Below are 26,215 nucleotides of genomic sequence, written 5' to 3'. Positions count from 1 at the left end.
TTTCCTCATATGGAAAATGGGTTCAAGAACAGTGCCTCCCTCAGACAAGGCCTAGCCAGTGCCGGGGGTGTGGGAGCACTCGCTCCATAGTGGACCTCGGTCATGATCATTTCAGGTGTGGGGAAAGTAATAACAGGAGTCTCGGAGGTGAAAGGGAGCCCTGCACTAGATGGGCATGGGGTGTGTGGCTGAGATAGCTGCTTCCCGTTATCTGGTTTCCTTTTTTTTTTTTTTTTTGCAATAAAGCATCTTTTTTTTTTTTTAAATGCCCGTAGAGCAGAATAAAGCCTGCCCTTCTCAGCCTCTCTGGTGGTTACATGTGGCTGTGTGACTCTGTGGTAGCCAGTAGGAGGTAAGCAATAGTGTGCTGTGCAACTTCCAGAAAGTACCTTGAAAAAGGATTGTTGTATCCTTTGACCCTTGCTCTGCGTTCTGTTGGCTGGAATGAGGATGTGATGGCTGGGGCTTAGGCAGCCACTTTGGATTGTGAGGACAGTGGCTGCACCAGAGGGATGAGGGGGCTGTGAGCTTGCAGAAGCCTGTAACCTGGTAACCTGGAGGAACTGTCCCACCCAGCCTGGACTGCCCACTGCCAGACTCCTGCATGAGAGAAGAAACCATGGGTTTCAGTCTGTGTTCGTGTATTTGGTTTTGGTCTCTCTTTGTTGATCCTGACCCTAAGGTTATCTCGAGAGTGATTTTGCAGCTGTGCTTCATCTCTGGGAGCCTGAGACCTCAGAGTTTGAGGGAGTGGGGGTGGAGGTGGGTCCCCCTGGGGCCCAAGTGTTGGGATGGTGAATTGAGCCACTTAGCAGATGAGGGCTGGGTGCTTCACGCAGTGCCAGTGCACAGGCAGAGGCTCTGCCGAGGGCTGGGCCCTGATCCTAGGGGATGCTGGGTGTCTTGTCACAGTTAGGGCAGCATCTAGCTGTGGTGGGGCCGGCAGGGATCTCGCAGGGAAAGAGCCTTTGGGCCAGTGAGGTTGCCCTGCACGGGCCGAGGAGGAGGCAAGACTTGATTCACTTGGACAGGTTGAGGGGACGCATGACCAGACCTTCTGGATCAGGGTCACTTCTCAGGGGCTGGAAATGGTGCTCCTCTGCTTTCCAGGGGGAGAAGGGGTATCAGGGCTGCAGCTCCCACCTTCTTATCCTTCTGCCCTCAGCCATGCTGCTGAGAGAAAGAGAGGCAGACAGACAGACAGAGAGACACAGAGAGACAGAAACAGAAAGAGAGAGGGAGAGACACAGTGATAGAGAGACAGAGAGAGACAGAGAGAGGGACAGAGATAGGGATAGACAGAAAGAGAGGGAGAGGAGGGGGAGAGAACCAGAGGGATAGAGTGAGAGGGAAGGGGTGGGCTGGGTGACAGTCCCCCGAGAGAGGCAGAGACTGTATGTGTTTGACCCCTTTTGACCCTCCTGCCCTCTCCTCCGTCCTCCTCCCGCTTGTTGAATTAGTGATTGATTCGTTCACCCATTCACTTGCTTCGCGAGCCTGCCAGGCCTACCCTCAGTGCCAGCCTTCCTGCAGAGTGATGCTAGAGCCCGGAGATGCCAAGCCAGTCCCCCAGGGGTGCCATGTGGTGAGAGGGAGCTGGAGGGAGGGAGGGGAGGAGGGGGTGCCGGGCACCTGTCAGAAAATGCTACATTTTGTAGATGATGTCCCATGCGGTTTGACTTGGAGACAGATGAGAACTAGAACAGGAACCCAGGCGAACACAAGACCGAGACCCAGGAGAGCAGGCAGCGGGGCGTGTTTTCACCGTGTCCGCCCTTCTGCCCCTGCTGTCCTTAGAGCCCTCGGCCTCCGGTGGGCATCACGGCAGCCAGATGGTTTCCATGGGCAGGTCAGGGCCTAGTGAGTCGGCCTGGACTGGAAAACCAGTTTAAGTTTGGAGGGAAGTTGTGACAGACAGTGTGGCAGGCGGGAGACACAAAGCCTGAACTGGAGGCTGGGAGAACACAGGAGCCTGTGCTTGGTGGAGCAGCCACTCCAGGGAAGGGGACTTTCCAGCCAGGCTGGCTGGGGTCAGTGGCCTGGCCGGCGCCGTCCGGCTCAAAAGCCCAGGCCAGGAGCTTTAAGGCTATTTATATCCACTCCAGCAAATCTTTTGATCTTGATGATTCTGTACCAAGCCTGTGTGGTGCTGGCTTGTGCACGTTGGAAGCCCAGGCGGACAGGCGCAGGGACAAGGACGCAAATCCAGAGACCGGCTGGGCCAGCAGACTTTCTTGTCCACGACTTCAGCTCAGAGAACTGTGGCTCAGAGGGGCTGAGAGCTTGGCTGAGGTCACCAGCAAGCGTGCGCCCAGCCCGGCGCTCCAGGATCCACTCCAGCCTTAGGGCAAGGGGGAGGCTGGCAGGGACGGGGCACTGGGTGAGTACCTACTTTAAAAAAAAAAGTGGGGCTGGGCACATTGGGCACAAAGAGCCTGTAATCCCAGCACTTTGAGAGGCCAAGGCGGTCCAATCACGAGGTCAGGAGTTCAAGACCAGCCTGGCCAACATGTGAAATCCCATCTCTACTAAAAATACAAAAAATTAGTCGGGCGTGGTGGCGCGTGCCTGCAATCCCAGCTACTTGGGAGGATGAGGCAAGAGAATCGCTTGAACCCAGGAGGTGGAGGTTGCAGTGAGTGGAGATCACGCCATTGCACTTCAGCCTGGGTGACAGAGCATGACTCTCAAAAAAAAAAAGTGTCAGGTACTTTCCCCCCCCCCCCAAAAAAAAAAGTGTCAGGTACTTTTTTCCCCCCAAAGGAGGGTTGTGTATTTTATCTTTTAAAATAGTGATAAATGCACAAAATATAAAATTCACCTTTTCACCATTTTTAAGTGTGTAGTTTAATGGCATTAGGTATATTCACATTGGTTTTTTGTTTTGTTTTGTTTTGTTTTGTTTGAGACAGGGTCTCGATCTATCACCTAGGCTGAAGTGCGGTGGTGTGATATGGCTCACTGCAACCTCTGCCTCCGAGGCTCAAGAGATTCTCAAGCCTCAGCCTCCTGAGTAGCAGGGAATACATGCATGTACCACTGCACCCAGTTAATTTCTGTATATTTTTAGTAGAGACAAGGTTTCACCATGTTTACCAGGCTGGTCTCGAACTCCTGGCCTCATGTGATCTGTCCACCTTGGCCTCCCAAAGTGCTGGGAACATTCACATTGTTGTGCAACCGTGTTCACCACCGAGCTCCAGAACTCTTCATCCTCCCACACTGAAACTCTGCCCCTGTTAAACATTCACTCCCCCTCCCCTCCCCCAGCCACTTCCTGTGTCTGTGAACTGGATTGCTCTAGGGACTGCACACAAGGAGAATCCTGCAATATTTGTTCTTTTGTGAGTGGCTTATTCACTCAGCACAATGTCCTCCAAGTTCACCCATGTTCCAGCATGGATCAGAATTTCCTTCCTTTTTAAGGCTGAGTAACTTTCCATTGTGTGGACAGACCACATTTGTTTATCCGGTCATCTGTTGCTGCACAGTTGGGTGTTTCCACCTTTTGGCTATTGTGAATGAAGCCATGTGCATTGGGTGTGCTAACACTTCTTCAAGACCCTGCTTTCAGTTCTTTTGGGGGAACATACCAGGAAATGGGGTTGCTGGGTGCTGGGGTGATGTGGCAGGTCCTTCTAGCTCTACGAACTCCGTCCTAGCGTAACCCTCAAGGCAGGTGTTACTATCTGCATTTTATAGACCAGGAAACTGTGGCAGTGGAATGGTGGGTAAAGACAGGAATGGTTTCAGGATAGCCCCAGGCCCCTCCAGTGTGCTGGCTCCTACCCTAAGAGGGACGGGGACAGGCTTGCTCCCTCACCTCCTTTTTTTGAAAACAATTTTCATTATGTATTTATGTATTTATTTTTGAGGCAAGGTCTTCATCCTGCTGAGGAAGAAGACAGGAAAGTGTTGAGCGCACAGACCCCGGTGCATAGTATGTGGTCAGTTGTTATCGTGGCTCATATTGTCCTCTCAGGACTGACCCCGTTCACCTGGGGAAGTGTGGCTCAGGTCCAGCGGCTCATGACTCTTGAGCATCCAGCACACCAGGGAGCTGGCCTGCTCCAGGCCTGGCTTTATGGTCACAGGAAAAGGTGCTTGTTCCTGTTGCCTGAGTTTACAGCAGTGAGTGCAAAAATGGCTTCACGCTCTTACAGGAGCTGCCTATTTTCCCAAGATGTCAAGTGTACTGATTTATGAAAGTTGCCCAAGGAAAAACTGGGCAGATATTTTACAAATCCATAAAATCCCAGAGCACGGCATTTTTACGTTGGCTTCTGGCTCACCTGCTAGGGACGCAGCCACCCAGGGTCTTGCCTAACAAGGCTTGTAGCATTGAGTGCCATAAATTATGGAAGGAACTGAGCTGTGTGAATTTCATGGGTGAATTTCACGGGTATGTTGTCAAGGGGAGATTTATTGGGGATTTTGGGGTGAGGCTTCAACTCTGTAAGCTCTCAGGGACCATGCATCCCTGGCTCTGCCCTGGGAGCTCAGGGGACAGATGCTTGGTCACCAGCTCCTTGCAGCACATGTGATGACGGGGGTGGGGGATGGGGGAGATGGGAACAGACTGCAGAGGACATGATTCTGGAGACTTGGGGCTTTGCTCGCTGTCTGGGGTTGAGTTCTCCGGGAACAGGCTCTAAGATGGGATTTGTGTGAAAGGGGATACACTGGGAGCTCTCGGGCACAGCACTCATTCGAGGGGCTGGATGGGTAGAGGGGGCATCGAGGGGCATGGCGTGGTCTCTGCAGAGGCCTCCCATAGCCAATGCCACCAGAGCTCTGGAGCTGGGAAGGCTCTGAAGGGGTGTCCCTAATCAAGGCCAGGGCACTGCCCTTTGTCCCTCCACATCGACCGGACATTGTGTGTGGCCCCTGGGGGAGGGAGGCGTGACCTTGGCCAAGGACAGTCCTCAAGTGGTACTCAGCTGGGAGCCCTCAGCAGCCAGCACTCCTGGCAGGCGGGGACAGGGAACAGGTCCTGGAGGGCGCCTGGGCGGCCTCCCCAGTGTCCGCTATAGCTGGTCAGGCTGATCTTTCTATATACAAATCAAGTGCCATGTCCTCGCCTCTGAAAAATCTGTCCCTCACTCTTGGGAGGTAGGGAGAGAGTGATGGCAGCTTGAGGCCGTCGGTCAGGGAAGACCTTGGCCATCCCCAGTCCCCACACCTCTCAACCCTTCATTTCCACCAGTCTCTGCTGTGGGGGCTGGGTGGCCTCTGCACTGCCCAGCACTGGGGACTCCTCATATGCACCATGTGTCCTGCTCAGCACAGAGGACCCCCTCCACTCTCCTCTTCCTTCAAAGCTTTCAGCCTCCTTGGCTGGGCCTGTCTCCCGGGCCCCAGGACAATGTGGCTTTCTCCTTCCACGCCCCGTGCACCCTGCCAGGAGGACTGTGGAGCCGGCACCAAGGTCAGCTTCTTGGCCATCGTGGTCTCTGTGTCCTCAGTCCCTGCATAGTGTCTGGCACAGAGCTGGAGTTGGAAGAGGCAGCGGCGGGTCAGGCCTTGATGGTAGACTCAGGCATCGGTGAGGGGTGCTGCTTCTCAGGCAGCCTGGGACACCAGGACTTTTGCAGATTCCCTTAGGAACGTGGGCTTTGGCTGTCTTTGCCAGATGCACCTGTTTTGATCAAAAATTGTCACTCAGTGAAAGATGAGAAAATCATGCCCCTACTGGACAGAAATGAGAGTATTGTGAGGACAGAAGCCATTCAGGGATTAATGGGGGTGTTGCACATCAGCCCGTCGTGTATTGATCTGCGTTTCTGCATCACTGCATAGGTGCCCCTTCTCTGGCTTCCTTCAAAATGTCAACCTGGGAGTTAGGCAACCCCATACCTTTCTGGTTGGCTTCCAAGCAGCAGCAAATGTCAGGCCAGAGAACATCGTTAACTAGCATCATACAAATTAAGCCTCTGGGCTTGAGGGTTGCAACTTTCCTTCCCTCCACCCTCTTCCCTTCCTCCTCCACGCTTTCACCTCTCTTTTCTGTCTCCCTCACTCTCTTTTCTCATCCTCCTTCCCCCTCTTCCTCCAGCCCTGCAAGGCACTGTCCTCCAGGCGTGGTGAGCCAAGGCTGCTTCCTGAGATCCAGCTCCTGGTTTTGCCTCTGGCAGGCACAACTTTTGCTAGAACAATGTGATTCCTTGCAGAAGTCTGCCTGCCAGCACGACTGTTCTAATTAGTCATATTTTGAAAGCAGATCTGCTTAATTGCAAGCAGAACTAAATATTGGTATATAAATAAAGTCATTAATAACTGTATATGGTAGAAACTTCTCCCGCTGAGCGCCACAACAAGCAAGCCCCGTTGACCTTTTCTTGGGTGGCATTGGCTGCATGGCTTGCATCCCCTTGTGGCATCTGTGGATGACCAGAGGTGGAAGCAGGTGGAGGTAAGCATTGGAGGCTCCCACGGGAGGGCAGGAAGAAAGGAGGTTTGTGGGAGACCCCATGGACCCAAGGAGATGGTTGTGGAGCTGCTGGTTTTGAATGGCAACGAACAGCCTAGTGGGTCTTCTGCAATCATCAAGTTAATGAACACTTAGTGAAAACAGTTATGGCTTAAACACTGCATCCATCAGCCCGCCTCGAAGGCCTTGGGGAGTCGGCTGTATTTCCCTGATTCGGAGGTTGGGCTTCTGGAAATGAGGACGTGGCCGGCGATGACAGTGCTATCTCACCCGCCACTGTTTTGATGGGGTGCAGGGGAGAATATGGCACTGGGCTTAGTGCAGGCCAGCAGTCAGTTCCCCTGACGCTGCTCACAGGCTTGGTGACCTCGGGCTGTGCCTTGGTTTCTGCACTTAGAGAATACAGATGATAACATCTGTGCAGTGCATTGTGGGCTTCTTCATTCATTAGAACACCCATCAACTATTTACAGAGCACTTCCTCTTGTCCAGGTCCTGCTCCAGTGGAAACTGTCCCGTCCCAGGGCCTGCATGGCAGAGGGTGGTGGAGGTGGAGCGGTGTGGCCCAGTGGGGGCAGTTGGGATTTTTTTCTGGCTGCTGTGGGGAAGCATTGGGAAGATTTGAGCTTGGATGACAGGGTCCAGTTTATCATGTTGAGAGACCTCTCTGGCCATGGTGTGAGATAGACTATAGGGAAAGAGGGTAGGGGCTGTGCTGAGGCCCAGGGGAAAGATGATAGGTCTTGGGCCAGGGAAGGGGATGGAGGTGGCAGAGCCCAGACTTGGGGGCCGTTGTGAGGCAACACCTGCCAGAATCCCAGATGGAGTGGGTGATGCTGTGGAATCCTGGGGTTCCCTAGGTTCCTGGAGGTTACTGGTGCCAGCCCCTGTGGGGTGGGGAGGGGGGCGAGGGTGCGATTCGCAGCGTGAGAGGCTGCTTTTTCCCAGCTGGTTGTGCTCCTCACTGGCTGCATTCCATTATCTTCTCTGGGTTCTAGATTTATTTTTATTTTTACTTATTTATTTATTTAATCTTTATTTTCAGGATCTCATGCTGTTGCCCAGGCTGGATTGCAGTGGCACAATCATAGCTCACTGCAGCCTCGATTTCCTGCGCTCAAGTGATCCTCCCACCTCAGCCTCCTGAGTGGCTGGGACTACAGGCACATACCACCATGTCCGGCTAATTTTTTTAAAATAATTTTCTAGAGATGGGATCTCACTATGTTGCCCAGGCTGGTCTGGAACTCCTAGGCTCCAGTGATCCTCCCATCTCGGCCTTCCAAAGTGGGAGGATTACAAGTGTGAGCCATCACACCTGGCCCTGAGTTCTAGATTTTTTAAAAGGTTTTTTGTTGTTGTTGTTGCTGTTTGTTAATAGTCTTTACTTTTAGAGCACTTTAGGTTTACAGAAAAATTGAGCAGTAAGTACAGTGAGTTCCCATGCTCCTGCCGTCCCTGTTCCCTCCATTATTATCTTGCATTAGTGTGGCACATCTGCCGCAATGGATGAACCCACTTTGACACATCATTATTACCCATAGTTCATGGTTCACCACGGGCTTGTTCTGCCATTGTGGCATCACACAGAGCAGTGTTTCTGCCCCCGCCCCCCGCAAAATCCTCTGTGCTCTGCCTGTTCATCCCTCTCTCCCTCCAGGTCACCTTCTTTCACTTAGTCATATGCATTGAAGCTTCCTCCATGGCTTTTTATGGTTGATAGCACATTTCTTTTTAGCACTGAATAATATTCCATTGTCTGGATGTAGCACAGTTTATCCATTCACCTGCTGAGGGACATCTTGGTTGTGTCTAAGTTTTGACAGTCATGAATGAAGCTGCTATAAACACCCATGTGTAGGTTTTTGTGTGGACATACATTTTCAGCTCCCTTAAGTAAACAGCAAGGAGTGTGATTGCTGGGCCGTGTGGCAGGGGCGTATGTAGTTTTGTAAGAAGCTGCCAAACTGTCTTCCAAAGTGGCTGTGCCGTTTTTAATTCCTGGGCTTCTAGATTTTGGACCCCTTTAAGGGGCTCCGGGTTCAGAGGATTTCACAGGCTGTAGTGCCCCACCCCATTTCTCAGACCAGCTGCAGGGTGCGGAGCCCTACCCAAACTGAGTGGTCTCAAGTGAGCTCAAACGAGGAAGATGTCCCGAGTCTCCCTGAGGCTTCGTGGACTGCACCAGGCGGGGGCGGGAAGGGCTGGGGCAGTGCAATGAGCACCAGCCAGGGTTAGTCTGGTTGGGGGTGATGCTGATGTGTTCAACTCAGCTAGGAGGGCCATGTGAGGGAGCCTAGCGAGGTCACCAAATGTGGGACCCACAGCGTGGGGTTCAGTGTGGGCTGAGAAACTGGGTGTCCTTGGGAACGTCCTGCCTAGCCGGAATGTTATGTCTTCTGGAGAATGTCTGTCTGTCTGTCTCATATGCATGCACTGGGGAAGCTTCTCAGGGGCAGCTTACATGTGAAATCATGCCCGTGAGAATGACCACTTGGAAACGTTCGTCCTGAGGCCCCTGAGCTGTGAGGTGTGTCTCTGTGCCATCCTGACTCCCTTGTAGTCTTGATTGGACTGAAGTGCTGCCCTCCCTGACCCTCACTGCGTGCCTGGCAGGGTGGTGAGCAGTTTATACTCGCTGCCTCCCTTAATCCTCATGGCAGCACCAGAGGTAGGTTTTATTTTTTCTTTTTTACAAAAGGGAAAACTGGGCACAGAGAGGTTAAGGAGCTTGTCTGTGAACACACAGCGGGTTGGCTGGGATATGGGGCAGAGCTCCAGGCCTGTTTTTGGGTTGGGGAGCAGGGGAAGATAGGGGCCGCTGGCTGCTGGTGCTGCACCCGCTGCTGGTGCTGCACCCTCTCCCCAGGGTAGGTGAGGCTCTCCCTCTGCTCTCCTCCAGGGTCCCTCTCCCCTTCTCGTGCTTTGCGTCTCTCCATGGTGTTTGCCACCTGACGGGTCCTCCAGTTTGTCCTTTTGGTTTCTGTCTGTGGTCCACTTTCTATCTTCCCACCATGGCCTGGGGTCCCGGAGGGAAGGGTTTCTGTCTGCCTGGTCCCTTCTGCATCCCCAGCGCTTGCTCAGTGACTTTGGTTGAGTGAGATATCCCGAAGGCTGCTTTGGGGTTGGTGAGGTCAGCTCAGGAGGGTGTGGCTCTTAGGAACCCCAGTTCCCCTGGGCAAATCACTGGGCTGCCCTCCAATCAGTTTGCTTATCTGTCAGGTGGGGGATAAGGATGGGGCTGATGCCGTGGGTTATAACCACAGTTGGTACTTGCTGAACAGGCAACTTTGTGAAATAATTAAAATTATGTAGTTACATATAATTATATATGATATCATTATATCTGATGTGTCATAGATTTTTTTATGGTTAAAAGATAAATAACACAAAGTGTTTATTTACCATTTTAGCCATTTGAAGTGTGCATTCAGTACCGCAGATCACCGTGTACAGAAGAATGTGGGAACATGTCGTGGACAGTGCACCTGACACTCAGTGTGCAGCTGTCACCGTCACCACTATCCGTCTCTAGACTCAGCATCCCAGACAGAAACTCTGTACCTATGATATCACATACATTATTTATTATCTTCAATAGTCCCGTATTAATTTTTTTTCCTAAGGCAACTCTTGCCAAGGGTCCATCTGTTTGAGAGTTTCTCAGCCTTGGCACCACTGGCAGCTTGGACCACTTCACTCTTTGTGGTGGGGGCTGCCCTGTGCATTGTAGGATCCAAAGGCCATCAGGTCCAGTAACGCCCCCTCCCCAGTTCCCCAGTTGTGACAACAAAAATATCTCTGGACATCACCCATTGCTGCCTGCGTTTGAATTGCCTCTGAGTTGGAACCCCTGGTTTAAGAGGTTGAAGCTAGTTGGAAAACCAGGCATCCCATTTTGGGGAGCAAATCAGTCATTGAAACACTGTAAGGCCGGCTGAGTGCAGATTACAGTGGCTCGTGCCTGTATTTCTAGCTACTCAGGAGGCTGAGGTGGGAGGATCGCTTGAGCCCAGGAAATCAAGGCTGCAGTGAGCCATGATCCCTCCGCTGCTCTTCAGCCTGGATGACAGAGCAAGACCCTGTCTCTAAGAACAAAAAAAAAACCCCAAAACACTGTAAGCCCTTTTCCATCACCAAGAAGGGTCCCCTTCTCACTGTTGGATCCTCTTGCTGTCTGCCCCTTTGTATTATACAAGACTTTTTCCTGTGTTAGTTGAAGTGTTTGGCCTTGAGTTAACCACAGACTGAGACTGGGTTGATGCAGCCATTTGAATCTGGGCACATATTCTACTCTTCCAATACAAGCATAGGCCCTGCGTGTGGGAGCCCCAGCCCCATCCATAGCAATACACCTGTTGCCCCAGGTTGGAGAGGGCCCTTCAGGTGTCCTCAGGATCAGGGGACAGACCTCCGTCTCACAAGGCAGAGCCGTCCTCAGGAACCCCTGGCTGCAGCACCGAAGCCCAGTGTCCGGTCTGCCTCTTTTAGGGGAGAGAGGCAGTGGCTCCCCTCCCTTGGGCTGGGGTGCTGGGGGGTGGTCAGCCATGCGTGTTCTCTGTTAAAGCCCAGCTGGTTTGGAAAGAAAAGAACCTGTTCCTGGTTCCTTCTTGGGTACCAGAAAATTAGTTTTGAATTAACACAAAAGCAGCTTCTAGAGCTGCCTGACGTGGAGGTTGGTCTTCCAGACGTTCCTGCCAGTGCGTCCGCTCTGATTGTCGAGGGAGGTTGGGGGAGGGCTGTGTGGATGTGCCTTGTCGGATCTGGAGCTTTGTCAGGATGCTGGGGAAGCAGGAAGGCTGTGTGGATGCACAGAGACCGCATGGAGGCCCCGGGTCGCAGGTGGCTAACTCTGCGGCCTGGGAAAGCTGGGCAGCCCTGGGCCTCGGTTTCCTCATCTCTAATGTGGGGACAGGCAGGGCCGTCCAGGATTCTAAGCTGAGCTGTGGAGAGCCCTCCGGTGCAGGGCTCTGCCACCTGCTGCTCGCTGGGCAGTAGAGTGGTAGAACCTGGACTTGAGTCCATGGAGGAGGAGGGAGGAAAACGAGTAGGAAGCGCCAGGGAGCTGTGTCGTTGAAAGTGTTTGCCTGCGGTTTGGGCTTTACTCAAATGCCAAAGCCTGTCACCGAAGGGGGCTTGAGCTGGTTTTCCTGCAGCCGGTGCTGGCTGTGATGAAACCTTGCCTACTGCCCTTTTGCTCTTTGCAGCTCATCCCTCACTAACACCTTTGTGCAGGGGGGTTTGGACCAACCTCTGCTCAGAATGGTTTCAGGCACATCTTAGCCTTCCTGATCACCAGTTGGAGGTGTGGAGCAGGGAAGAGGGCTGGACATGGGGACTGATGGGCCGGGTGTGTTCATGGCGCCCTTGTGGCACTGCCATCAGGCCTCCGTGTCCAGCCTGGGCACCTCCTGGCCAGCGAGGCCTCAGGACCCCAGTGCGTCCCCAGGGTGTGGCCTAGCCATGGGGAGCGGGCTCGGTTCATGTTTGCTGAGTCTGCAATCAAACCAAGGCCAGGCTGCACGCCGATGTGGGTGGAGCATCTCATCTGGATCAGAAAACAAAGGGATAAAGCCAAAGTGAGGTCAGAGGGCAGCGTTGTGATGCCAGCCAGGACCTCCAGGTCAACGTGACGGCTGACTGTGGCCCGAAGTGCCCTCTGTCCTCAGATGCGACAGTGGAGGCAGGGCTTGTAGTTATGTGGAGGGGCTGCTGCCTGAGTGGCGCATCACCTGTTGGTCAGAAGCTGGGGCCCCAGTCAGGCATGTGCAGCTATTTCCAGCGGTGGAAACACAGCTTCCATCGGTGGCCTGTGTTCTTCACCCCGTCTTAATGGGGTTCTGCTTCTGGGGGCCCCGGGTATCAGAGCCATTTGACATAACCACCGAGGCACTTGGAAAAGCATGGGTGCTGGGTTACCTCTTCGTCAGATAAAACCGTGGCCTTTTGTCCTCCCTAATTTAGCTTTTGTCGCACAGCGGAGCTCCTCCTACATGCAGTAATCTTCCCAGAAAATGAGGCTGTTGATACTTCAAAAATAGAGTTGCTTAAGAGAATCATTCTGCTTAGTGCCCTTGTGTGCACTCACATTTTGCCTTTTAGAAATCAAATGCTGACTACCCCTTATCTAATATTTTGATGCATGGCGTTTTTAGGAAAATGGAGTTGAGTGTAGTTTTCTGTATGGCAGCGGGGAAATGAGTTGAAAGCAGAGTATTACCGAAGCTTCATTCAGCCTTGGTGTGAGCTCTTCCAACCCCCTGTCCAGTGTCACCGCACCACTCAATACCCGCCATCTTGGCTAAGCTGCCTCGGGTGGGGATGATTACTTCCGGGGAGGAATCTGCTGACCAGGGGGTGCCACACCCCTTCTCTGGGAACTCTTGCATTCTGGAGTCTGATACTCTGAGTTCAGATCCCGGCTCTGCCACTCATGGTATTAGCCTCTGTACCCTATGGCAAGTTACCAAGCCTCTCTCTGCCTCAGTGAAATGTTAAATCTATAAAACAGGGATAATAATGGTAACTATCCTATAGGGCTATTGGGGGTTTAAGTGAGTCAATATTTTCAAAGCACTTTAAAGACTTTCTTGTCCTGCTGAACATCATCAGGAGAAATCCAGTCAAAGCCACAGCGAGAAGCAACCTCACACCCACCAGGGTGGCTACTATCAAAAACGTAGATAATAAGGGACCGGGTGCGGTGGCTTACGCCTGTAGTCCCAGCACTTTGGGAGGCCGAGGCGGGCGGATCACGAGGTCAGGAGATCGAGACCATCCTGGCTAACAAGGTGAAACTCCGTCACTACTAAAAATATAAAAAATTGGCCGGGAGTGGTGGCGGGTGCCTGTGGTCCCAGCTACTCGGGAGGCTGAGGCAGGAGAATGGCGTGAACCCGGGAAGCGGAGCTGGCAGTGAGCTGAGATTGTGCCACTCTACTCCAGCCTGGGTGACAGAGCAAGACTCCGTCTCAAAACAAACAAACAAACAAAAACAAAAAAAAACATAGATAATAAGAAGTCTGTTGGTGAAGTTGTGGAGAAATTGGAACCCTTGTGCCTTGCTGGTGGGAATGTAAATGGTGCCGCCACTGTGGAAACGTTGTGGTGGTTCCTCAAAAAATTAAACATAGACTCACCATTGCATCCCGCAATCCCACTTGTGGGCATATGCCCAAAAGAATTGAACGCGGGGCGTCGAAGAGATACTCGCACACCCACATTCATAGCAGTGTTATTCACAGCAGCCAAAAGATGGAAGCAACCCCAGTGTCTAACCACAGATAAACCGATTCACAAACTGTGGTCTATGCACACAGTGGAATATGGTTGAGCCTTAAAAACAAAGGACATTCTGACACATGCTACAGTGTGGATGAATCTCGAGGGCAGGTGCCAGATGACATGAGCTGCTCACAAAAGGGCAGATCCATACGATCCCCTTATAAAGAGTGTCCTGGAGTAGTCACATTTGTAGAGACAGAAAGTGGAAGGATGGACGCCAGGGGCTGAGGGGAGGGGGATTGGTGAGTTCGTGTTTAATGGGGGCAGAGTTTCAATTTGGGAGGATGAAAAAGTCCTGGAGATGGATGGTAGTGATGGCTGCACAGCACTATGAATGTACTTAGTCCACTGAACTGTACACTTGAAAATGAGTAAGATGATACGTTTTGTGTTGTGTGTAGTTTACCACAATAAAAAATCGGGGAAAAACAGTATGTGGGGCATAGTGAGCACTGGGCTCTGGGTTTGCTCTGCTGCTGCTACTGTTGTACTTATTAAGCTTTCAGCTACATGAGGTCAGAAACTCATTTCTTTGGCTTTGTAGTCTCAGCACTCAGCACCCAGGAGGTACCTTTGTGGAACCTCCTGCCTGGCCTCTAATTCTGGCATGGGTATGTGCTTGTCACTCAATCCTCCTAGCTGGCTCAGCTGCCTTGGCTCGGTCCCTCCTGTCAGGAGTCTTCTTTTGGACATTGACTGTCTCATTAGAATATTGTTGAATGGAACAGAGTCTCATACCCCAGGTAGCGGGCAGTGACCTCTGCATGGTGCAGTCCTTGTCAGAACCTTTGTACCCCTTGGCCAGGCTCCAGCTCTGAGCTGGCATATTTCAGTCTTTTGGATGCCACTGTGTAAATACTGTGGTTTCCTTCTGGGTCCTCTTCTCAAGGTTTTCCTCTGCATCTTGCTGGTCGGGAATTGCAGCAACACTTAAAATATTCCTGAGTGTGAAGGTTCTTTCAGCAAACACTATTCATTTATTTATTCAATAAATATTTATTGAGCTTCTACTCTATGAGCCAGAACTGTTCCAGTTGCTGAGCAGTTACCACAGTGCACAATACAAGGAAATTCCTGTCTTCAGGGTTCTCATTTCAGTGAGGAAAGCCAGACAATAATGGTGGTAAATAGAGGTTATATGTAGTGTGTTTGATTGGAAATGTGCTTAGGAGAAAGATCGAGCTGGGGTGGGTAGGTGGTGTTGGCATGTTAGATGGAATGGAAGCAATGGCCTAAAGGAAGTGGGCAAGTGAGCTGTGTACACATCTGGGAAGAGCCAGCCTGGCCCAGGGCTCAGCCAGTGCAAAGGCCCAGAGGCCTGCAGGTGCCTGGCTTGTTGGGGGAATGGCAAGGAGGCTGGTGTGACTGAGGGGGAGCCGGGGGAGGGTAAGAGGAGGTGAGGACTCAGAAGTCAAGGAGCAGCAGTTCACACAGGGCCCTGGAGGACTCTGCCTTTACCCCCGGCAGGGAGCCTCTTCTGGACAGAGGAGGAGCGATGGGGACCTGGAGCCCTGGATGCTGCATGTGGCAGGGACTCAGGCATGTGGGTGCAGGGAGGGAGCCCAGAGAGGCCACTGCAATGATCCAGGCAAGTGATGACAGTGGCGGGACCAGAGGGGTGGCAGCAGGGGTGGGGGAAAGCTGGGTTCTGGATGTCCCTTGAAAGTGGGGCTGGCCAGGTGCGGTGGCTCATGCCTGCAATCCCAGCACTTTGGGAGGCCGAGGCGGGCAGATCACCTGAGGTCAGGAGTTTGAGATCAGCCTGGCCAACATGGCGAAACCGTGTCTCTACTAAAATAAAATAAAATAAAATAAAATAAAATAAAATAAAATAAATTATCTGGGTGAGGTGGAGGCGGGCGCCTGTAATCCCAGCTACTCGGAGGCTGAGGCAGGAGAATCATGTGAACCTGGGGGTGGAGGGTGGTGGTGGGGGGAGGTTGAAGTGAGCCAAGATCAAGCCACTGCACTCCAGCCTGGGTGACAGAGCAAGACTCTGTCTCAAAAAAAAAAAAAAAAGGAAAGTGGGGCTGATAGCACTCGCTGACAGTTGTCCATTAGACATCACCGTGGCACTGCTGGTCCCGCGGCTATTGCACCAGGTCCCCGCGTTTGTCCTAGCCTCTGTCATCCCACACAGGGTCGATGCTTCCTGTGTGTGCCGCTGAGCCTCAGCTATCTCGCTGTCTTGGCTCCCACCGCACCTGGAGGTTCCCCTGCATGGCTGGTTCAAACCCAGCTGGCCTTCGTTGAATCTGCAGAGCTTTTACTGTTTGCTGTGTCCCCTGAAAGCCTGTGACAAGCCCTAGAAAGGCTAAGAAGGTTATGTCATAACTGTGTCCTGCTCATGGAAACGTGGAGCCGTGCTGTGAGATGGTCACCATGGCAGCCACAAAAATGAGACCGCTCCACATCAAAGGCAAAATCTTAGAACCTCAGCTGCACAGGCAGCAATGGAGCTGACGGGCCCTCACCTCACAGGTGGGGAAACTGAGCCCAGGGAGGCTAATCACCAGCCCTTGGGCATCTGCGTGGTTAGTGGCAAAGTTGCCATGGAAACCTGTGGGGGTCTTCACATGGCTGAGTGCCTGGAATCAGTCCTGCCCCAAGAGGATGACGGCTGCAGCGTCTGCTCTGTTGGCGTCCTCCTCCTCTGTGCTTCCTTGGAGTCTGCTCCTGTGCTTGTGCCCATCCATCTCACCTTACGCTCCCCTTGACCCCGGCTCCCCCACCTCGTTTTTCAGAAGAGGAGACCGAGACCCAGAGAGATGGAGTGGTTTGCCTAGGGTCACACAGCAAGAGCTGGTATTCGAACCCAAGCTGGTATTCGAACTCCATAACAGCTCCGTATTGGTTCCTAATGTGACTGAAGTAAGGGAACATAAGCCGATGAGCATGACTGAGGGATAGAAATAGAATAAACTCTCTTCAGTGAAAGCATTTGAAGCCATAAGAAATTCCCCCAAAGGGCCAGGCAAGGTGGCTCACGCTTGTAATCTCAGCACTTTGGGAGGCCGAGGCAGGTAGATCACGAGGTCAGGAGATCGAGACCATCCTGGCTAACACGGTGAAACCCCATCTCTACTAAAAATACAAAAAAATTAGCCGGGCGTGCTGGCGGGTGCCTGTAGTCCCAGCTACTCAGGAGGCTAAGGCAGGAGAATGGCAAGAACCTAGGAGGCAGAGCTTGCAGTGAGCCGAGATCGCGCCACTGCACTCCAGCCTGGGTGACAGAGCAAGACTCCGTCTCAAAAAAAAAAAAAAAAAAAAAAGAAATTCCTTCCCCCAAAGGAAGTTTCCTTCTTTTCTATAATTGCGCATCAAAGTCCCACCCTTTGAGAGGTAGAGCTGAGACCCAACAAGGAATTCCAGTGATGAGAGACAGACTCTGCCCACAGTCTGAGTCAGGAGGTAGAGCCTCTCATAAGAGGGGAATTGAAGTCAGGAGCACGGACTGGGGCGAGAGTGTCTGGGTCCAATCCAGCTCTGCACTGATTAATTCTGTGACATTAGGCAAGTGACTTAACCTGTCTGTGCAGCTACGTGACCTCGGGCAAGTTACTCAATCTCTCTGTGCAGCTGTGTGACCTCTGGCAGGTGACTTAGCCTCTCTGTGCAGCTCTGTGACCTCAGGCAAGTTACTCAACCTCTCTGCACTCCAGTTTCCTCATCTATAACATGGATATAATAAAAATAGCCTGGTCTGTACGACGTGATTAGTAACTGTCAGCCACACCAGGTGCTATCCCAAGATTTATACTTACAGCACTTTATTTAACCTTCACATGACCTGTAAGGGGGCTACTTTTATTCTGAGAGTCACAAAGGGTACTGAGGGAGCAGGACTGCATGAGTGGTTTGGAGCTGCCAGGAATGGCCTCCTGGAGAAGGGGATGGTGTGGACAGGCCTTGGAGTGGGGAGAGGACCAGAGCCAAGGAAGGGGTTGGCATTCCACGTTCTCTCAGGGGAGACTGGGAGTAGGTTTTGAGGGTGAGCCCGATTGGAAACCAGAGGGACTCTAGTTTTCCCAGGACCTGGGCACAGGTGGGAGTCAGGTGGGAGGTGGGGATGAGGCCAGGAAGTCCAGAGCTCGGGGATCCTCAAGCACCAGCTGAGAGATTCCTTCTTTGTTGAGAGGCAGTGGTGTAGCCAGAACTGTCTATGAGGAAGATAAAGGGGAAAACCCCGGCTTCCTCCTGAACCCACGTAGATGCTGGATTTCCAGTGGCCTTGGGGACACAATAGGGGTCTGACCACTTGGAAAGAGCCCAGGTTTCCAAGCCCAGAGCTTGCCCTTCCTGCAGTCTGGGAGGTCTCAGAACCCAGCTTTGCAGCCCTCTGAGGGTGAATGGATGGGGGATGCCCCCAAACCTGGTGACTCCAGGGGAACCTTAAGAACCTGTAGGGGGCATTTTGACATCCAAACCTACACTCCCACGAGCTTGGACTTGACCACAGGCACAAGGCAGGAGAGGACTGTGAACAGTGGCCCACGGTCCTGGACAAAGAGCCCACTGGAACCCCAGGAAGACAGGCCCAGTAAGTGCGTCTCCTTAGGCCGTGGAGGCAGGGTTCCCACAGCGTGTCTGTGGGAAGATGGGGAACGTGCAGTGGGGAACAGTGCCTGCAATGCCTGTGTGCCCTGGGAGGTGGCTGGGGGGTGTCAACAGCCCAGAGGAAGTCCCCGGCCCTCCCTCCAGATCCAGATCCAGATGGAGACCATGAAACTCACTTATCAAATTTGCACTTGACTTGGAAGTGAGAAGGCGGCTGATGTGATGGCATCGAGACTGTAAGTGATTCTGATGCCCCTAACTGTAGGGCGAAGGCTCATGGAGTGAAAATTATGAGAGAGAAATTTCTGCTTCAGCTCCAGGCTGAAGAAAAGAAGGAGAGAGCCAAGTCCCAGCTTCTGGCGTGGAGCCTGACCATAGTGAGCTCTTTATCAGCCGAGGCAGGGTCAGTCCTTGTCCCAAGGGGGGCGATGAGGGAGGTGAGGCCACAGCAGCCGCAACATTCATCCAGGTGCTGCAGTGCACACCTCTGGCTGTCCCCGACAGAGCAGAGCCTGGGGGCAATGGAGGAAATGACAGCCGGACAGACTTTCAGATTGTCATGTTATGAGATGGGAACAGAATGGCAGCAGAGAAATCCCAGCACGTCCTGGGGGTGTCTGGGAGGGGTGGGGACCTGTCCAAAGCCAGTCTGGGCAGGCACATCTATTAGGTAACTTCTAGGAGATGATGGAGGTGAAGGTGGTTATGGATGAGTTAGCAACCGTCCCCTGCAGACCTCACCAGCAGGTTTTAGGCAAGTCCGGTATCAGACCAGCTTCCATCTCATGTAGAGACAGTTGCTGACAAGTGGCACCCACAGCGAGACAGCTGGACAGTGGTCCCACAAGCTGAAAGGCGTCATTTTGGGTATTTGCAACCTCCTTTCAAGAAAGGCCTACCCGAGGCAAACAGGCCAGCGTTCCAGGGGCAGGATTTGCTGGTCAGCTCTGGGAATTGGGAGAGCAAGAAGCCTCCCCATTCGCTCGTGGTGGGAGTCAGGTCTGGGTGGGGCCCCAGCTGTGTCCCCCATCCAGGAAGGGTGGCAGGGCTCATAGCTCGCTGTTCCTGCCCGGTCCGTGCAGGGAGGGAGGTGTCTGCAGTATTCTGCGAGGATAGGACATCGCCCCTGACCAGAGAACCCATTCCTGCATCAGCCACACTGATGAACAAGCTGTTTACCAGTTAGCAAAGCCTCTGAACTTGATGGGAGATCCACAGAGCAGGGCACAGGTAGCTCAGACGCTGGAGCACAGGGGTCTGCCGCCTGCCGCCACAGTCTTTCCATGTTTATATTTCGTAGCTATATTTCCTTTGCACTACTGTGGGGTTTTTTGCTTTTTTGTTTTTCATTGTGGCAAAATACGCTTCACATAAAATTTACCATTTTCGCCACTTTTCGTTGTCACTCCAGTGGGATTAGCTCCACTCACACTGATGTGCCACCGTCCCCACCGTCCATCTCCAGAATGTTTTCCTCTTCCCAGACTGAGCCTCTGTTCCCATGAAACACCAACCCCTTATTCCCCTGCCCCAGCCCCTGGAACCCCTGACTCCATTTCTGTCCCTATGGCTTTGGCTACTCCAAGTGCATCAGATCAGTGGAGTCCTGCTGTTCTCGGCCTTTGGTGATCGGCTTGTTTTACTCTGCGGCACACCCTGAAGGTTCACCCATGTGGCAGTGCGGCCCAGAACCTTCTTCCTTTGTAGGGCTAATAGTCCCTTGCATGGATAGGCCGCATTTTGTTTGTATATTCATCCATTGATGGATGCTCGGATGCACTACTATTTAGTTAATATTTCCCCACAAATAGTTTCTGAAAGAGAAAACACCTATTTTAAAGTAATCATCACATCACCGTTTCAAGTGGAAATCCTGTGTCCCTTGCCATGTTGGGACAGGCCTAGCCTTCAACTTCAGCTGGAAGTTCAGGTCCATGATAATAGAGGTGTCTCGGTTTGGGTTCCCCGGCAGTGTGCCACAAAGGGTGTGTTGAGTGAAAAACAAATCCCAGTGTCTTTCATCTAGCAGGAAAGGCCATGGAGTGTGGTGGGGTGATTGCGAAACGGCTTCACTTCCCCACCCTGCCTGCCACCACATTCTTTTTTTTTTTTTTTTGAAACAGGGTCTGGCTCTGTTGCTGAGGCTGGAGTGCAGTGGCGCGACCTCTGCTCACTGCAACCTCCACCTCCTGGGTTCAAGCGATTCTCGTGCCTCAGCCTCCCCAGTAACTGGGACTACAGGTGTGTGCCATCACACCCAGGAATTTTTTTGTATTTTAGTAGAGATGGGGTTTTGCCATGTTGGCCAGGCCGGTCTTGAACTCCTGACCTCAAGTGATCCACCCACCTTGGCCTTCCAAAGGGCTGGGATTACAGGCGTGAGCCACTGTGCCTGGCTTTGCGTCCACATTCTTGGCATGTGACTGTTCAGCGTCTCCCATCCAGAGGTGGAGCCCTTTTTTCCACCCCTTGAATCCAGACTGGCTGAGTGGCTTGCTTTGGCCAGGAGAATGTGGCAGAAGTAATGCTCTGCGTGTTCTGAGCTGCGGCTGCTGGAAGTTCTGCTCTCTTCCTTAGAGCCCTAACACTGCATCGGTGAGCCTGGGTGTGGTTGCTGGAGGATGAGACACCACGTGGAGGAGAGCCAAGTCTTCTCACCGTGGCTTCGTGGCTTCATGGCTTCGCTAGTCCAGCCAGCCCCTTGCTGAGCTGCCGGCAGCCCACAGACACATGAGCGAGCCCAGACTCGATCAGCCAAGCCCAGCTCAATCAGAAGCATCTCTGGCTCACCTGTAGACTCATGAAAGATAATAAATGTTGGCTGTTTTAAGCCATCAAGTTTTGGGGCAGTTTGTTTGTAGCATCATAGTGGCCCTAGCTAGCAGATACACAGTGCTTCTCGAGACTGTGGGCTCCATTTGCGTGCCTCCATTGAGGTTCTTAGTAGTCCTCAGAGGCATGGGAAGCTGCGACTGTGGGGTGGCAGAGTGTCACATGACCCCCCTTCCTGAGCAGTTGGCTGGTGCCACGGTGCCTGTCATTGTGCTGTGTTGTTTGAGAGTTACAGGCTTTTTTTGGTGTGTGCTTCGTGGTCAATGGCTGGCAGGTCTAGAGAAGGTGGAAGTCTTCTCCAAAGTCTTCTGCCCACTCCTTGACAGTCCTCTCCCTGCTGAAAGGATTCCTTTGCCACTGATTTATCGCATGCCCCAGCTGCTGAGGCTGGGAGTGGGGATCAGTATGGAGTGCCTGGGCTGGTTGGTCACAACTGCAGTCAGAGGCCTGAACCAGACATTTTTTGAAATCAATAGACTAGTCCACTCTCTGGGGTTACGTTATTTGGAGCTCAGTGGACCTCCCCATTAATCCACTCAGCAGACATTTATTTAGCACCACTATTTGCAAGCCCAGGATCCTACGTTTGAATGGCAGGTGAATTACATATACCGACAATCACTGGGATATTGGTGTGTAATTGTTGTAATTTCAGCTGTTTCTGCACTTTTGTAGAGGAGCGATTTCTAAGTGTTAAAAAATAGACATGGTAGTATTAAATTATCAGTTGCTAAGGAGGCTGAAGCAGGAGAATCGCTCGAATCTGGGAGGCAGAGGTTGCAGTAAGCTGAGATCGCACTGCTGCACTTCAGCCTGGGGGACAGAGCAAGACTGTGTCTCAAAAAAAAAAATTATCAGTTGCTTTTTGTTATCAACTTTTTTAAATCAGCTGCTTTTTAAAGAAAGCAACAGCATGCGCTGGAGTCAGACATTGCAGGAGTCAGACGGGCTGGAGGTTGATCTTCAGCTCTGCTCACAAAGTGAGGCCACCCCTCTGCCTGAAATGGTGGCCTGGCACAGAGCAGGCGCTCCACAAATGTGTGTCAAGCAAATGAAAGGGCATCATATCCTATTCGAGCTTCCTAACTGCTTTTGTGGCCATCTGTGGGCAGACACCATTGTCTCCACTTTGCAGAGGAGGGACTCTGGCCCTGAGGGCTGATGGGGCTGCCAGGAGTCGCACAGCGAAGATACAGAAACAGAACAGCAGGAATCCAGTGCTCTCCACTGCTTCCCATTCTGCCATACGCCCCCCTAGAAATACAGGCAGCCCCCAGAGAACAACTGCACATGCAGATGCTTCTGCATGTGAGACCAGAGAGGCATGTGCGGGCCCACATGCCCCTCCAGACAGTGAAGAGGAAGCGCATTGGCTCCTGCTGGTCAGATCTGTTACTAGAACTTCTCCTCGGTCTGGAGGGGAATGAGGCTGTCTCCTGGCCCAGCGCATCCGCTTGACCTCAGCTTCTACTGGGGTGTAGAGGCTTCTGCGAGAGACAGAGATGGGGTGGGCGCCAGGCCAGCAGCACCTCCTTGTAGCATCTGGAGCAGAGAGCACCCCTGGAAGAAGCTGTTGTTCCAGAAGGGTCTGTCTGCAGTGTATTCTCAAAGAGGCTCTTAGCTGGCTCTGGCAAAGGCAGCTTGTGGCCCTGGGGCCTCCGCAGGGCTCCTGACTTCCAGGCAGCCCTTCGTCCGAGGGTCAGCTGGCATGGTAGCTCTCAGTGGACACACAGGGTCTTGTTTACAGACAGACGATCCTCTCCCCTCCCTCAAAGCTTGGACACCACAGAGGGTCAGAAGCCCCTGCCCAAGGGTGTGCAGGAAGTTACCTCGGGGAAGGCTCCTGAGGATGGCAGGGCTGTGGGCCTGGCCAAGCACGGTGTAAATTCAGGTTAGGTCACATTTGTGAGCATCTCTGTGTGCGAAGGGACTTCACCTGGATTTACTCTTGTTCTCACAGCCATGAGACTGGCTCCTAGCTTGTGTTCAGGACAATTCTGAAGCCTAACTTACCCAGAAGGAGTCAACCCTGTAGGTTGGCGGAACCCTCTCAAGTTCTCCAATCAACCCCCTCACTACTGGGATTTAAAGAGTTTCCCGTAGGGCCCCCCACATGTGTGGAAAGACAAGCCCTTCCTCTGCATCCCTCCCTTTTCTCTTTTTTCCTCACCCTCCCCCTCCTCTCCTCTTCCCTCCCTCTCTCCCTTTGCTCCAGCACTGGGATGTTAACACCTGGTGTCTGCGTCAGATGAAACTCCAACCAGTCCCGGTGACGTGAAGCCTGAAGGGGCTTCACAAAGGAAAAGGCTTCGTTTTCAGGTGAGCCACTTTATTGAAGCAGAACATCCTCCAGAAGCACGAGCACCAATCCTAGGAGTGCAGCCCCAGATGCCAGAGTCACCAGGCCCATGTCGCCCACCCAGGGCAAGGAGCAGAGCAGGACCAGCCCCGCCTCCCCCTAAGGAAGACACTGTGTAGTGGACGGACACAGAGGCTTCAGCCACGGCCGGGATGTGCAGCTAGTGGAAGGCCTGCATGGGTGCCGCTAATGGAGCCAGCTGTGGCCCTGCTGGCCATGTCACTCTGCACAAGTGACTTTAGCTATCTGAACCTGGGGGTATTCCCCGTATGCCCACCTTGCTCTTGGGGGTACTGTGAGGTCAAGTGTAGCACAGAGCCAGAAGCACTTGGGAAAATTCTATGTCAAAAGGGTCACCGCACCTCATGTGGGTCACCTTCGCAGTGACAGCTGTCACTGATATTCTGTAGGCCAGGACTTCAGAAAGTCTGAGCAGCTCACCCGCATCACAGCCGCGGAGACCTGGAGACCAGCTCGAGCCCAGTACCTCCTGACTTCTTTACTTCCTCCAGCATTTCTTGGTTGCCCATGTGCCCAGCCCCCCACCAGGCCTGGGGCTCTCACAGTGAAGGTGGCACGGTCTCTGCTGTCACCTAGGAGCTGTCCCTTTGCCCTGTGTGGGTGGTTTTATCAAAAGACAAATATATATGCACACATACACACATGTGTGTATGTATATACGTTGTGGTAAAGCACATGTAATAGAAACTGCTCATCTTAGCCATTTCTAAGTGTCCAGCTCCTTGGCGTCAATCACATTCACTCAGTGGCGCCACCTTCTCCACCATCTGCCTCCTGATCTTCATCTTCCCGTTCCGTCTGTGAAAATGTGTTTCACAGCTGCTTCCTACGGCCTCAGAGGCTCTGGGAGGTTAGCGTGTGAGAGAGAGGGGTCCAGGGGCCAGTGGGTCCCCCTCCCGGGGCTATCCCCCTCTGGGATGAGCCCAGCTGGCAAGGACCTGCCAGCCCTGTTTCTGAAACACGGAAGCCCGGGAACTGGGCTAGAATGTGCTGGGGTTGGTCTGTCCTGAAACCAGCAGATGCATCCTCATTTGTCATGAACGGTGGGGACATTCGGGACTCATCCTGACACCTCTCCTATTCAGAAGAGGAAGACAAACCACCAAGCACTCATTGGCCTGGAAACCAGTCCCCGAGGGAGAGGCTGTGACTTCAAGGGCTGGGCAAGGTGGCTTTGGGTGAAGCGTCTAAGCTGAAGCTGCCAGCATCCTGGTTAAAGGACGTCACAGCGGACACACCTGCTCCCAGGCGTAGAAAATGGAGAAGGAAAATTGCTCCAGGGCAGCCTGTGGTCTGGTGGACAGAGCCCAGCTCAGGTAGAACAGCAGGGGATTTCCAGGTCGTCCTTCGAAAGCTTCCAACTTGACATATTTTGTTAAAAGCTGCTTTCGCCTGCTTGTGTCTGGCCTGTTTGCATAACAAGGTCCCGGAATTCAGCATTTTCCAAACTCAGATGTTTTTAGGGTCATGAACTAAAATATTTCATTATCAGTTCAATCGTGGGAATTCTGGGTTTCTTTACTGCGGGACTTCTCAGAGCCTGCAGTGGGCCCGTGGACATGAGGCGTTGACAAGGTGAAATTGGACTGTGCGGCACATTCTGGTGTCTTCAGACCATCAAGTGCCTGGTTTGGAGACGTGATCACACGGTGGGCCCACCTGTGCACTGCCAAACAGAAACTGGGACATGCTGCTGAAGTTGATCACTTAGGAGAAGGAAGAAGACTTCTGTTTTTTTCCAAGAACTACGTTAACAAATGACTGTAGTCCAGTGTGGAGGGCGCCCCTTGGATCTGGTACTCCAAATCAATGAACGTGAAGTCCACCCATATCCAAAGTGTGTCGGATTTATCATCTCCTCTGCCTGCCGCAACTCTGCCTGTTGGCACCTGCATCCTCCCGGGTCTTTCATGGAGCCCAGATTTCGTTCAATTCAGCTGTGAGCATTTCTTGAGCACTGGGTACTGGTGTCCTGACAGGGAGTTAGAGCTTACAGAGTGACGGACCTGCTCTCAGGATGTTCTGTGGGAGGGGGATTGTGAGGGTGGCGCTGAGGGGCATGCATTTTAGCTTGAGTTTACTGCAGCCCGTGAGACCCTCTACCAACTGGCGCCCACCCCTTGCCAGGCTCCCTTGCCATTCATCACAGCCTCTGCCACACCGCTGGTGTCTCCCTTGCTGTTGGGTTCCTCCAAGCCTCTGAGTGTTGGCTTGGTCTGTTCCCCTGCCCTCCACCTAGCCCTGGGGAGCCTCAAACAATGGCTCAGGGTTTTAATTTTTATTTATTCATTTATTTATTAGCGATAAGGTCTCACTCTGTCACCCAGGCTGGAGTGCAGTGCTGTCATTATAGCTCACTGCAGCCTCGAGATCCTCTCTCCTCAGCCTCCTGAGTACCTGGGACTGTAGGCACATACCACCTCACCTGGCTAATTTTTAATTTTTTAAATTTTTTGTAGAGATGGGGTCCTGCTATGTTGCCCAGGCTGGTCTTAAACTCCTGGCCTCAAGTGATCCTCCCGCCTCAGCTTCCCAAAGTGCTAGGATTATAGGCATGAACCACCACACCCGGCCGGCCAAGGTTTGTTTTTTTTTAATTAAAAGTTGTAGATGTTGAATTGTTACAAAATATGCATAACATAAAACTTACCCTTTTAACCAGTTTTCCAGTGCGCGCAAAGTGGCATTAGCACACTTACCCTGTTCTGCAGCCGTCACCATCATCTGTTTCA

General features: G+C 52.5%; 1 protein-coding gene across 6 annotated transcripts in view, besides 6 other annotated features; it reads left to right on the top strand.

Annotated features, from left to right (window-relative positions):
* IQSEC1 (IQ motif and Sec7 domain ArfGEF 1) overlaps positions 1-26,215 on the top strand; it is a 386,215-nt gene that overhangs the window by 17,104 nt on the left and 342,896 nt on the right. The window lies entirely within an intron of this gene.
* Positions 5,180-5,960: an enhancer, noted in NCBI's record as "H3K4me1 hESC enhancer chr3:13301694-13302474 (GRCh37/hg19 assembly coordinates)". NCBI's record gives its function as "activates a minimal SCP1, AML or CMV promoter by ChIP-STARR-seq in naive H9 embryonic stem cells {active_cell/tissue: H9 hESC(naive)}" and the evidence as "EXISTENCE:reporter gene assay evidence [ECO:0000049][PMID:30033119]".
* Positions 8,435-8,935: an enhancer, noted in NCBI's record as "H3K27ac hESC enhancer chr3:13298719-13299219 (GRCh37/hg19 assembly coordinates)". NCBI's record gives its function as "activates a minimal SCP1, AML or CMV promoter by ChIP-STARR-seq in naive H9 embryonic stem cells {active_cell/tissue: H9 hESC(naive)}" and the evidence as "EXISTENCE:reporter gene assay evidence [ECO:0000049][PMID:30033119]".
* Positions 8,936-9,436: an enhancer, noted in NCBI's record as "H3K27ac hESC enhancer chr3:13298218-13298718 (GRCh37/hg19 assembly coordinates)". NCBI's record gives its function as "activates a minimal SCP1, AML or CMV promoter by ChIP-STARR-seq in naive H9 embryonic stem cells {active_cell/tissue: H9 hESC(naive)}" and the evidence as "EXISTENCE:reporter gene assay evidence [ECO:0000049][PMID:30033119]".
* Positions 10,760-11,568: an enhancer, noted in NCBI's record as "H3K4me1 hESC enhancer chr3:13296086-13296894 (GRCh37/hg19 assembly coordinates)". NCBI's record gives its function as "activates a minimal SCP1, AML or CMV promoter by ChIP-STARR-seq in naive and primed H9 embryonic stem cells {active_cell/tissue: H9 hESC(naive and primed)}" and the evidence as "EXISTENCE:reporter gene assay evidence [ECO:0000049][PMID:30033119]".
* Positions 11,569-12,378: an enhancer, noted in NCBI's record as "H3K4me1 hESC enhancer chr3:13295276-13296085 (GRCh37/hg19 assembly coordinates)". NCBI's record gives its function as "activates a minimal SCP1, AML or CMV promoter by ChIP-STARR-seq in naive and primed H9 embryonic stem cells {active_cell/tissue: H9 hESC(naive and primed)}" and the evidence as "EXISTENCE:reporter gene assay evidence [ECO:0000049][PMID:30033119]".
* Positions 23,845-24,048: a silencer, noted in NCBI's record as "fragment chr3:13283606-13283809 (GRCh37/hg19 assembly coordinates)". NCBI's record gives its function as "represses an EF-1alpha promoter that drives an FKBP-Casp9 reporter gene in an ReSE screen in HepG2 liver carcinoma cells {active_cell/tissue: HepG2}" and the evidence as "EXISTENCE:reporter gene assay evidence [ECO:0000049][PMID:32094911]".

The sequence above is a fragment of the Homo sapiens genome, chromosome 3, assembly GCF_000001405.40.
Source record: "Homo sapiens chromosome 3, GRCh38.p14 Primary Assembly".
In the NCBI taxonomy this organism is placed as follows: domain Eukaryota; kingdom Metazoa; phylum Chordata; class Mammalia; order Primates; family Hominidae; genus Homo; species Homo sapiens.
This window is presented reverse-complemented; position numbering and strand designations above follow the sequence as displayed.